At 40.5% G+C, this 12,744-nt stretch overlaps 1 long non-coding RNA gene across 2 annotated transcripts in view; it reads left to right on the top strand.

Annotated features, from left to right (window-relative positions):
• The first annotated feature begins 359 nt into the window (after window positions 1-359).
• LOC105376250 (uncharacterized) overlaps window positions 360-12,744 on the top strand; it is a 100,071-nt gene continuing 87,686 nt past the window's right edge. For both annotated transcript variants that reach the window (XR_930305.2, XR_930304.2), the window contains exon 1: window positions 360-547. This is a non-coding gene — a long non-coding RNA (uncharacterized LOC105376250). The remainder of the gene's footprint in view (window positions 548-12,744) is intronic.

Here is a 12,744-nt window from a genome sequence, read left to right as displayed (position 1 = left end):
TGCAAAATTTTAATACATTTTTCAGGGACTCAAGAGACCAGCCTGAGACTTAAATGTAGACACTGTAGTGTTGCATAAATTAAAGGTTAAAATCTCATGTGTTTTTTTAATTGCTTAGTTACCGTTAAGAGGTATTGGCTTGTAAGTTTCCCTAAACAGGGACTGTGTCTTATTATTATGCCTCCAGTAACTAGGAACATAGTAGATATTCAAAGTGATTTGCTCAAATAGAACTGATCTATAATATAGTTAAGTGTTGTATCAGTTAGCTATTGCTGCATAACAAACCACCCCAACACATAATGGCCTCAACAATGGCTGTTTATTTAGCTCATGATTCTGCAGGTTAGCAACTTAAACTAGGCTTAGCTGAGTGGTTTCTTTGGTCTCAGATGGGTTCTATCATGTGACTGTGGTCAGCTTGAGCCAGCTGTGTTTTTGCTGATATTGGCTGGACTTTCTAACACATTTCAGGCCTTGCCTAGACAAATGACTGGACACATCTCTGGTTCACATTGTCTGTCATCTTCCATCAGGGGAACATGAGGTAGGTCCTATGATAGAGACAGTGAGAAATATACTTTCAGGCTCAGGGCAACCTGGTTAGTTTCAGATACCAAGGATACTTTATCTGCCTGTCTTCCTCTGTCCTACATGGAAACAAAATACTCGTTGGCCCCTTTAAGTCCCCCTTGCCTCATATTGTCTTTCCTCTCAGCTAGAAAAGAGCTGAGTCATTAATTCACACAAATATATTAATGACTCAGATCATTTCATGCTATGCCTTGCATTCAGAGGTCATATTATCAATGGGTGGCATGGAGGTTAGCAGTTTGGAAGAAATTAGCAGTGGTATTGGCCACTGGAACAAGAAGGAACCAATGAATAGCAGAGGAACAGGAAGAGAGGGTGGAAAATTAGTGAACCAATTAAAAAAGTGTTCAGGCTATATCTTCACTTATATGTGAGGGCAACTTTCCCACCTCCCCACTCTCACCATCAGTATTTCCTAGATAGAATCACTGGGGAAGAAAGCGCTTGATATTCCCAAAAGCCAGAATATGAAGTCTGAAAGTATTGAGATTTGGGGTATTGCTACTAATGTGATGTATGTGTACAGAAGAGAGCACACAGAGAACGTTACCTATCCTCCCTCCTGACCACCCTAGGAACTCCTCTGCTCCTTGTACTTTCCCCATCACCTGTATCTTGATTCCCTATTCAGTGGACCATGTTTTTCATTGAAAGTTCTATGAGGGCAGAGACCTCATCTGTACCACTGCCATTCTTGTACTCCTGGCACACAGTAGGGGTCTGGTATGTCAATTTACTTACTTACAACTCTCTATGAATAACATAAGAAGTGAAGAGAAAAACAATAGCAGATCTAGGATATGACAGAGCAGGATGCAGTATTTAGACTTGTGCCCCCATCATTCCACAGTCATCCATAAGATTTGCCACATCTTGAATCTAATCCTCTGATTCAACTTCAAGGCCAGGTGTTTTCAGAGATGACGTGTTGCTCATGGTGAACCTATCAAAATGCAAGCAATTTTGATGTGGGTGGGGAAATAATGATAATTGTAATAATCATTATAAAAGAGATGTGTTGTTCTTTTCAACTCTCATTAACCTGGATTTTGTTTACGAGGTTTCCAATTAGCTTCTTGTATCTGCACAGTTAACCTTTTCTGAGCTTTTCTCTTCAGGCTCTCTCTCCCCAAGCCCTCAGCCCTCATTCCTGCCCATGGAAGCTTGCAGGAATAGCTGGAATCCAGCCTCCTGAACAGCTCCTGAGCATGGGATAATTGCAATATAATTAATGAATTAAAAAGAATGAAATGTTTTAAGTGCTTTCAATATTCCCTTTCCTATAATTATCTACAGGAAACATGTTCATTAACAATCTTGTGCTGACAGCCCCTAGGCTCTGGATAAGCTAGCTCAGCTTCCAATAGCAAAGTGAATTGATGACCTCTCTATATTGTGCCTCCAACTTCAATGGGGAGAGAAGCAGGCAAAGCTGGACCCTCCCGTGAATAACTGTCGACCAGATCTGACTCTTTTCCTCACCTTCAATCTCAGGGCACCATGGCTAGTCTTGAATGCCAAGGGCATTTTCTCTGCTTGTCTCCCCTAGACCTGTTTTACTCTGTCCCATAAGAAAACACAATGCTATTTGGCCCCTATTAATTCTCCCATGCCTCATATTGTCTTCCCATTGCCCTCAGCTAGAAAAGAGCTGAATCATTAATTCACACAAATATATTAATGACAAAGATCCTTTAACACTGTGTCTTGCAGTCAGGAGTAACATCCACTATACTGGGGAGCCAGCAGGTACTCAGTGCCACTGGATGTGTCTGGTGCAGATGAGTGAGGTTCAATTTTATTTAACCATTGGGATAAAATATTTAAATTAAACTAAATATTTATATCTTATGAAAGAGAATTCAAAATGCACATGGATTTTAAAAAGATAAATCACTATATTTAAAATGAAATCTTGCTTATGTGAGGCTGCTTCAGTCTGGGTCCCTGATTGTTTCAGGAGCACCTGGTCACTGACCACATCACTGGAGATATTTGATAAATGTGATCTGATGAAATACTCCCACTATGGGCACGTGGTGCCGGCCCAGGGTAACTGTTCTTACACTTTAAGAGTTCCGTCAATATGACAAACTAATGAGAGGGACATTTTGGGGTAGGATCCCATCCCAGAACTCCTCAGTTTAGTTATTTATTAGATATGTGAATTTCCAATATGTACAAGGTACTAAGCCAGGTCCAGTGTGGAATACATTGATGAATGACAAAGGGATTGTACACTCAAAGGCTTTATAGACTAGTGGGGGAGATAAGATTTCTATCTGTAAATAGCTATAATAGAGACAGGACTAGGAGCTGTAAGATAGGAGCAATAAAAATGCTGTGGAAGTCCAGAGGAGGCGGATATTGTCTCCAGCCAAGGGGATCTGAGGACGTGTCATGGAGGAAGAAAATTTTTGGCCAGAACTTGAAGGATGGGTGATATTTGGATGAGAAAAACTTCAGGAGGATGGTTATGATGGTCTAAGGAAACAATCCTTAGCAGAGGTGCAGAGACTGAATCCAGAGAGCAGTGGTCTGCCCAGGATGGGCCAGGGATGGGGTAGTTGAGGCTGAATGTGCAGTTAGGGTGTGACTTCAAGGAAGCAAAGCTGGAAGAGCCATTTAGGAAGAGTTTTCAAGGACATTTATATGTCACATTCAAGAAATTGAGTAGATGACAGGTTTTTAGCTAATGCGTAAAAGGAATCTTTGTTTCAGAAAGATAGTGCAGCTGGGTGAAACATAATATAGGTGTGCGGGGTAAGAATGGAGGTAAAAATTCAAGTTAGGAAGTTAGTGAAAGGGTTCTTCTATCAGCCAATAAAAAAGAATTGATCAGACAATATCAGATTGAACCCCACTACCTACAATGCATACACAAGGGAAAACTAACATGCTGTTGTACCTTGGAGCAAATACAAATGAACAAAAATTGAAGAGTAGAGCAGTTGAGGTGATGATGAGAAGCCACAGAACACACTAAAAAGATATAAAAGCTATAAAAATAAAAACAAATCAATTTCTATATAATCAACCCATCGAAGTCTATATTCTTGAGATGGGAAAATTGGTAACCAATAAAATATTCATTGGGTATGTCTTTGAAGTACCTACAAAATTCTGTTTGGGGCATAGGCTCTTGAAGGTAGGCTTACCAGGGATACTGATTAGATTTGTTGGGTAGGCATTCATTGGGGCTGCTCTCAATGTAACAAAAGGACTGCAATGAGTGGGCAGTTTAAGGGTTTTTTGAGGTCAGGGCAGGCAAGGATCCAGGCATGCTGACATTGGGTGCCCTTGTCAGAGGTCCCTAAAGCTGGCACTGCACAGAGTTTAAGGTAGGCAGAGATGGTCTGTCATAGAGACAGTGGAAGTTGCTTTCAGACCCTTAACAGCTCTACTGGCACTACTCTGGCACTATTCTACCAGTTTGGAGTCAACTGGAGGCTTTTACAATCCTCTGAGACCAGGAAAAATTGTGTCTTAATCTTTTTTTTTCAAAGGAGCCCCACCACTTTTATATTTGCTCCTTAGTTTAAACCAGGCATCATCCTCACATCCTCAAGATGGTGTGGTCTCTGAATTAAAATGAAAGATCAAGACTTCTGATCTCACAAGGATGACAGAATATGGCTTCTGAAGTCAGACCTTTTGGATTGACTTCCTCTCTGTCTGTCTGTCTGTCTCTCTCTCTCTCTCTCCTTTCATGGTCTGTTACTCACTGAGTAACCATGGGCAAGTTTCTTAAAATCTGTGAGGGTCATTATCCTCATCTGTTAGCTGAGATTATGATAGTATTTGACTCCAAAGGGCATTATGTAGATTAAATTAGATAATTAATATGAGTAATTAATTAGAGATTCTGGTATTCATTAAATACTCAGTAAAAGTTACCTACTATTCTTTCTCTAATTATCATGGTTATTCTTGGTATGCTGTTCTCAAGTTGTCTGACCAGCTAGTTCTTAAAAGAACTGTATTTCTTTCTTTTTTTTTTTTTTAATTATACTTTAAGTTCTAGGGTACATGCGCACAACGTGCAGGTTTGTTACATATGTATACATGTGCCACGTTGGTGTGCTGCACCCATTAACTCATCATTTACATTAGGTATATCTCCTAATGCTATCCCTCCCCGACTCCCACCCCACTACAGGCCCCGGTGTGTGATGTTCCCCTTCCTGGGTCCAAGTGAAAGAACTGTATTTCTATTTCAAATTTTTTCTATCTGCTCATTGCCTCAGAGTATAACTTCTTAGAAGTTTTTTTTTTTTTTTTTTTTTTTTTTTTTTTTTTTTTTTTTTTTTTTTTACAAAAAGACTAAATTCAGACTCTGTTTTTGAAAAGTGTACATATTATTTAGGATTATCTGGTTGCAAGTGACAGAAACCCCAGTAGCTCAAGCAAAAAAGAGCACATGTGATCCCATAGAGCATGCTTCAAGATGACTGCAGGAGATCAAGTCGAGTTTCAGGAATCTCTGCCTTGCATGTCTCAGCTCTGATTTCTTCTGTCAGTATAGTCATCAGTAGATGCAGGATGGCCCTCAGTGGCTTCAAGCAACCCAAGCAGGAAGTTGTTTCTGCTAAAGCATTGTAGTGAATTGGTCTGATATGAGTCTCCTGCCCTCCCCCGTAATCTTCTATGACAAGGTGACGAGAGGTGGTTGAAATAAACTAATTAGCTGGTTCTGGTTCGTGTTCTCAGTCTTTTATTTTTGTTTGTTTATATATATATATACATATATATATATACACACATATATATACATATATATACATATATATACATACATATACACACATATATATACATATATATACATATATACATATATATACATATATATACACATATATATGTATATATATAAAATAACTTCTAGGGTACATGTGCACAACGTGCAGGTTTGTTACATACGTATACGTGTGCCATGTTGGTGTGCTGCACCCATTAACTCGTCATTTACATTAGGTATATCTTATAACGCTATCCCTCCCCTCTCCCCCTACCCCACAACAAGCCCCAGTGTGTGATGTTCCCCTTCCTGTGTCCAAGTGTTCTCAGTGTTCAATTCCCACCTATGAGTGAGAACATGTGGTGTTTGGTTTTTTGTCCTTGCGATAGTTTGCTGAGAATGATGGTTTCCAGCTTCATCCATGTCCCTACAAAGGACATGAACTCATCATTTTTTATGGCTGCACAGTATTCTCTGGTGTATATGTGCCACATTTTCTTAATCCAGTCAATCATTGTTGGACATTTGGGTTGGTTCCGTTCCAAGTCTTGGCTATTGTGAGTAGTGCTGCAATAAACATACATGTGCATGTGTCTTTATAGCAGCATGATTTATAATTCTTTGGGTATATACCCAGTAATGGGATGGCTGGGTCAAATGGTATTTCTAGTTCTAGATCCCCGAGGAATCACCACACTGTCTTCCACAATGGTTGAACTAGTTTACAGTCCCACCAATAGTTTAAAAGTGTTCCTATTTCTCCACATCCACTCCAGCACCTGTTTGTTTCCTGACTTTTTAATGATCGCCATTGTAACTGGTGTGAGATGATATCTCACTGTGGTTTTGATTTGCATTTCTCTGATGGCCAGTGATGATGAGCATTTTTTCATGTGTCTGTTGGCTGCATAAATGTCTTCTTTTAAGAAGTGTCTGTTCATATTGTTCGCCCACTTCTTGATGGGGTTGTTTGTTTTTTTCCTGTAAATTTGTTTGAGTTCTTTGTAGATTCTGGATATTAGCCCTTTGTCAGATGAGTAGGTAGCAAAAATTTTCTCCCATTCTGTAGGTTGCCTGTTCACTCTGATGGTAGTTTCTTTTGCAGTGCAGAAGTTCTTTAGTTTAATGAGATCCCATTTGTCAATTTTGGCTTTTGTTGCCATTGCTTTTGGCGTTTTAGACATGAAGTCCTTGCCCATGCCTATGTCCTGAATGGTATTGCCTAGATTTTCTTTTAGGGTTTTTATGGTTTTAGGTCGATGTTTGTTTGTTTTTGAGACAGAGTTTTGCTCTGTCACCATCACCCAGGCTGGAGTGCAGTGGTGCAATCTCGGCTCACTGCAACCTCCACCTTCCGGATTCAAGCGATTCTCCTGCCTCAGCCCCTAGAGTAGCTGAGATTACAGGTGCCACCACCATGTCTGGCAAATTTTGTATTTTTAGTAGAGATGGGGTTTCACCATGTTGGCCAGGCTGGTCTCCAATTCCTGATCTCAAGTGATCCACCCGCCTCGGCCTCCCAAAGTGCTGGGATTACAGGTGTGAGCCACCACACCCAGCCATGCTCTCACTCTTGAAGCCAAGGGCTGAAATTAGCCTCTAAACCTCATGGGCTGAGAATAAGAAAAAGTGGATTTCTAGTGCAGTAGTTCTCAAAGTGTGGTCCCCAGACCAGTAATGTCAACATCCCCTGGGAAATAGCTAGAAATACAAATTCTCAAGACCTATCCCAAATCTACAAAATCAGAAACTCTGGGAAGAGGATACAGGAATCTGTTTTAACAAGGCTTCTATGTGATTCTGATATATGCTTAAGTTTGAGAATAATTATTCTAGAAGAAGACACATGAACGATTTCCAGAAAAAGAGAAAGGTTGAGAAAATGGAAACAACAGATGCCTACCACAGCTTGCACCTAATAAATCATCCTGCTCACTTTATTGATAGAGAATATGAGGATCTGAAAGATAATGGGACTGGACGGAGGTCTCATGTCTTATTATCCCAGAACCAGGTCTTGGATTCAGATATTCTGGTTTCTAAGCCAGCACTCCTTCCACCAGAACATTGTAAAAGAAAATGAGAGAAGAAACTACTCGCTGCAAGGCATTGCACCTGACTGTGTAAGGAACTTTTCCACATAAGTAACCACTACCTAATAGTGGAATGCCCAAATGTATTTTCAAGACACAAGCTCCTCTACTGCCCTAGAGGGAATCAGCCCCTGAGAAGTGATGAGGCTACATCAGGTAGCAGTTTCCATTTCGTATCTCCTCACATACCAGAAAACTTCCCCATGCCCAGAGGTTCTGCATGGCCAGATGACATGATTATCTGCAGATGTTACTGACTCCAGGGCCAAGTTATTCATATTTCACATTTGAAAATCACCTCCCAGCGAAGGCCAAATGAAATGACCTTTGCAGAATGAACTAGATGGAAGTCAACAAGAATTTATTGAGCAGGGAGTGTGTGGCCAGGACCATCAGTAATGGCTGAGCTTACGAGGGAGGAAGAAAGCACGAACACTTCCCCAAAGGAGATCACAAGTCAGTGAGGCGGATGAGATGAACACAACTAAAACAATTAGAGAATTTTATGGGCACTCTCATCCTCCAGCAGTGTTGCCGTGTGCCCGCATCTGAATCCTCTTTCTATGTCTGGGGAGTTTTCCACCTTACAAATCTTGATGGAAAACAGTCCACTTCGCACTATAGAAACTAAAAATAATAATTAAAAAATATATAAACTTTCCCAGGTATCCAAAGAATGAGGGAATGGTTGGCCAATTAGAAGTGTCTGACCAGGGCCAGGCACAGTGGCTCACGCCTGTAATCCCAGCACTTTAGGAAGCCAAGGCGGGTGGATCACCCGAGGTCAGGAGCTTGAGACCAGCCTGGCCAACATGGCGAAACCCTGTCTGTAGTAAAAATACAAAAATTAGCTGGGTGTGGTGGCGGGCGCCTGTAATCCCAGCTACTCAGGTGGCAGGGGAATTGCTTGAACCAAGGAGGTGGAAGGTGCAGTGAGCCAAGATTGCGCCACTGCACTCCAGCCTGGGTGACCGAGGGAGACTCCATCTCAGAAAAAAAAAAAATATATATATATATCTATATATATATATCTATATCTATATATATATCTATATATATCTATCTATCTATCTATCTATCTATCTATCTATCTATCTATATATATAGATATATATAGATATATATAGATATATATATCTGACCAGGGCTGACAGGAAAAAAACGGGAAAAAAAAAAAATCCAGTATGATGGTGGCAGTGACATTTGCCTATTTTCCAGGGCACTAGTAACACAGAAGCTGGAGGTGGCCCCACAAGCCCTGTGCTGAGGGTGCCAATGGTGCTGGCTACAGAGTTCAAAGTTAAAACAATGGAGCCATCAGTATCCTCACCAGACGGCTTATGTGGCTTGAAGGGTTTTGGTTGTGAGCACCCATTTTGTTTGCTAGGCCTTTCTAGTGATGCTGGGAACTTACCAGTCTTTCCAATAGTTTTCTGTGTGGCTTAAACTTAACCAGAGTCAGTTTCTGGTTGCTTGCTCCTGTGTGTCCTGATGGTTGAACAGAACCTCAGAATATCCTGCTCTTTTCCACTGAGAGCTTTAGGCAGGGTATTTCCTCCACCTAAGCCACTCTTTTACCCTTTCTCTCTCTCTGTCTCCACTTAGTTAAACCCTACCCACTCTCTAACCCTTCATATCCCGTCTTGGACATCATTTCCACATAGCAGCAGCCTTACCTGAGCCATTGGGATGCTTTTCTCCTTATACACTCTTGCCACCTTGAACTTCTCCTTCAAAACAGTTCCCATATTTGTAAACACATGACTTAGTTTTTTGAGCCAAGGTCTTGCTCTGTTGCCTAGGCTGGAATGCAGTGGTGCAATCATAGCTCTCTGCAGCCTCAAACTCCTGAATTCAAGTGATCCTTCCCCCTCATCCTCCTGAGTAGCTGGGGCTACAGGTGCATACCACAAACATCTGGCTAATAAAAAAAAATACAGATGAAGCCTTGCTATGTTGCTCAGGCTGGTCTTGAATTCCTGGCCTCAAGTGATCCTCCTGCCTCAGCCTCCTGAGCTACTGGGATTATAGGTGTGAGCCATGGTACTCGGCTAACACATGACTATTGATTGCTCTCTATCTTCTTGTCTTAGTTCATTTGGGCTACTATAACAAAATACCTTAGACTGGGTAGTTTATAAATAATAAAAAATTATTGCTCATGGTTCCAGAGGCTGGAAAATTGAAGACCAAAGCACCAGCAAATTTGGTGATTGTTGAGGGCTCACTCGTCCTCATCACTGGCACCTTCTGGCTATGTCTTCATATGGTGAAAGGGGTCCCTCAGACCTTTTTTATGAAAGCACTAATACCATTCATGGGAGCAGAACCCCTATGACCTAATCACCTTTGAAAGGCCCACCTCTTAATAGTATTGCATTGGGGATTTAATTCGAACATATAAATTTTGGGAGAACACAGACATTCAGACCATAGCACTTCTCGAACTAGCCTGAAGATATGTGAGAGTAAGAATTGTCTTTTGCTTGCCATAGTATGACCACTGCCTAGCATGAGGCAAAGTACATGGAAGCTGTGTACCACTTGAGATTGTTGAATACACCATTGAGTAGTCCTTCTGAAAGGGCCAGGGAAGGTTTCCTAGTGCAGGTGGAGCTTGAGTTGAAGCATGTGTAGGATTTGAACTGGATGAGGAGAGGAGCAGCACACCCTAGATCAAAAGAACAGCATAGATGCCAGAGCAGGAAAGGAATATGTCACTGTGTGCTCAAGGAATAGGTAAGTGACTTATCAGCTGGAACAAGGGGTCTGTGTAAAGAGAAAAAATAAGTTAAATAACATAGGTAGAAGATAGCAGATTTTGGTGGATTTCTATTTAAAGAGTTTGTTAGAAGTGCATAAGAACTATTTGGTTCTGCACAGGTTCCTTATCTTGCCTGAACCTCAAGTTCTCCATTTGCGAAACAAAAATAACATGCAATTCATACTTTCCTTGAAGTGAAGAATATGGTAAAGTAACTTACATTGTTCCTTTTGAAAATCAAGCATGAGCATCTGATACTATCAACTCTGCAACTATAGCCTGCAAGATGAAACCTGAGACCCAAAGCCAGGTTTTGATCTTAATCATGTGATTCATGTCTATTTTCCCAGTCTAGCTTCTTACTGATCCATCCTCACATTTATTCACATTTCCTCTATCTCTTTCATACTTATGTGTCTTTTGACATGCTCTTCGCTCTGACTATAATGGCTTTCTCTTTCTTCTTTCCTTTCCTAGTCCATCTGGTGAACTTTATTAATTATCCATTTGAACTGAGATCATGTCATCTCTTCCAGGAAGCCCCTATTGATACAGAGCCAAGCATTTTGACTTCTTTCATGCTTTTCATACATTTTGATCATTATGTTTTTTATATTTTTCTATATCCCATCATCACCTCTGTGCCTAGGACATAGTAGACACTCAACAAATGTTTATTAAGTCAAATTCAGTTTGCAAACTAATGGACACTGGACAAATTCATCTGCTATGCAGTAAATACTTTGGGTATCCATTATGTTCCAGGTTAAGCATTAGACAGCAATAATGTGGGTGCTGGTGATTGTGGTGGTGGTAACAGAACCACACAGACTCATGAAATCTCCTTAATGGAACTTGGAGAGCACCTAATCCAACGATTCTCATTGTCAGATAAGGCAATCAAGGCACAGAGAAGTTAAGCGTTTGTTTAAGGTCACAGAGTTTTTCATAGCAGAGCAAATGAAGATCCTGCTTCTTGTGACCTTAGCTCGGGAATATGTCCACATTACCTTCTGCTTTTATGCTTATTATGGTTATGATTATCCTGCCTCTTAGCCACACTGGTTAACTCTTATTTTTATAGCTTTAGCTAATGTTATAAAAATTAATATTCTTTTTTTCTACCTTTATTATCATATTATATGGCTGCAACAAAGTCATAGCATATGTTTTCCCTTGTTTTTAAGATGGGTGTACAAAAAGTGACTTCCTAATATTTGAAGAGTTCATAAATTATAAATTCAGAACATTTCCATTTCCACCCACCTCCTTTCCTGCGGTAGCAATTCTGGAGCCATTTGGCGATGATTTGTAAATCTTTGAACCTGTAACAGGAGAATGGATAATTCTAAGAGTGCATCTAAAAGAAATAGTTTGCATCGTTTGGAACAATGAACCATTCTGTAATTCAATAGAAGACCTGAGACAGCATGAATGAGATCATGTCTATAAAATGGTCTGAGCCCCTCAGAGACAGCCACTCCATAAATACAAGGTATTGTTGCTCCAGCATGTGTAACACCACATAATATGAGCACTACTCATTGCGAGAGGAAAATGGTCTACATGAGCCTTCATAAATAAAAGCGTGAGTTTGCCTCACTCCTCCTCTCATTGCTCCCAGCTCTGCTTTGGCCTCTGGTACAGTATTTTTCCCTGTTTTCTATCTTGCCTCTTAAAATAGGCATGAAAACGTTAGAAATAACTCAACAAAATGTGCCGTTCATTTAGTAATGCATCAAATGTTTATGAATAGCTAATATTTGCCAGTAGTATGCTAGGTCCCCAGTAGGTTGATATGCTCTCAGTCCACAAAATATTATCCTCAACCTTCCCTTTGGCCCCAAGAAGCTATGGCTGCAAGTGTTTATTTTCACCACACTGGGACACCTCCCTTGTGCTGTGAACTCTCTGAGCTCACCTTTGTGCACACATTTTACAGGTCATTTTGTAAGATCCCCTAGGAGAATAGCCATTTTCTGTTTTTGTCCCACCACAGAAATGCCTTAGCTAGTGAGACACTGCTGTGATTTAGGGGTAAATGAAGATTATTCATTCAATCATTCATTAAACAAATACTTACCAAGTCCCTATAATTAATGGGTAGGCACTAAGGATATAGGCATGAATGAAGATGATAAGTTCCCCACCCTCAAAAAGACAGATAACAAAAATATAAACAAGTAAGGATATGCCATAGTGACAGGTAGCATAATTTTTGCGAATAGAAATAAACCAGGATGAGAGGCTTAAAAATGACTGGGGGGTATTTTAGACAGGTTAGTGACCGCTAGGTAAGATAAGAGTGTTATAAGGAACTGAACCATATGGGTGACTAGGAGAGGAATATCGCAGGCAGAGAGAAAAGCGAGTGCAAAGATCCCAAGATTTAGGTACACTGGGGGCATTCTATTAGGTTGGTGCAAAAGTAATTGTGGTTTTTGCCAGTAGTATGCCAGGTCCCTGGTAGGTTGATATGCTCTCCGTCCACAAAATTGCCATTAATTGCCATTAATTTTAATGGCAAAAACTGCAATTACTTTTGCACCAAC

This window comes from Homo sapiens, chromosome 9 (assembly GCF_000001405.40).
Source record: "Homo sapiens chromosome 9, GRCh38.p14 Primary Assembly".
In the NCBI taxonomy this organism is placed as follows: Eukaryota; Metazoa; Chordata; class Mammalia; order Primates; family Hominidae; genus Homo; species Homo sapiens.
The sequence above is the reverse complement of the archived record's forward strand: the minus strand, read 5'-3'. Positions and strand labels throughout refer to the sequence as shown.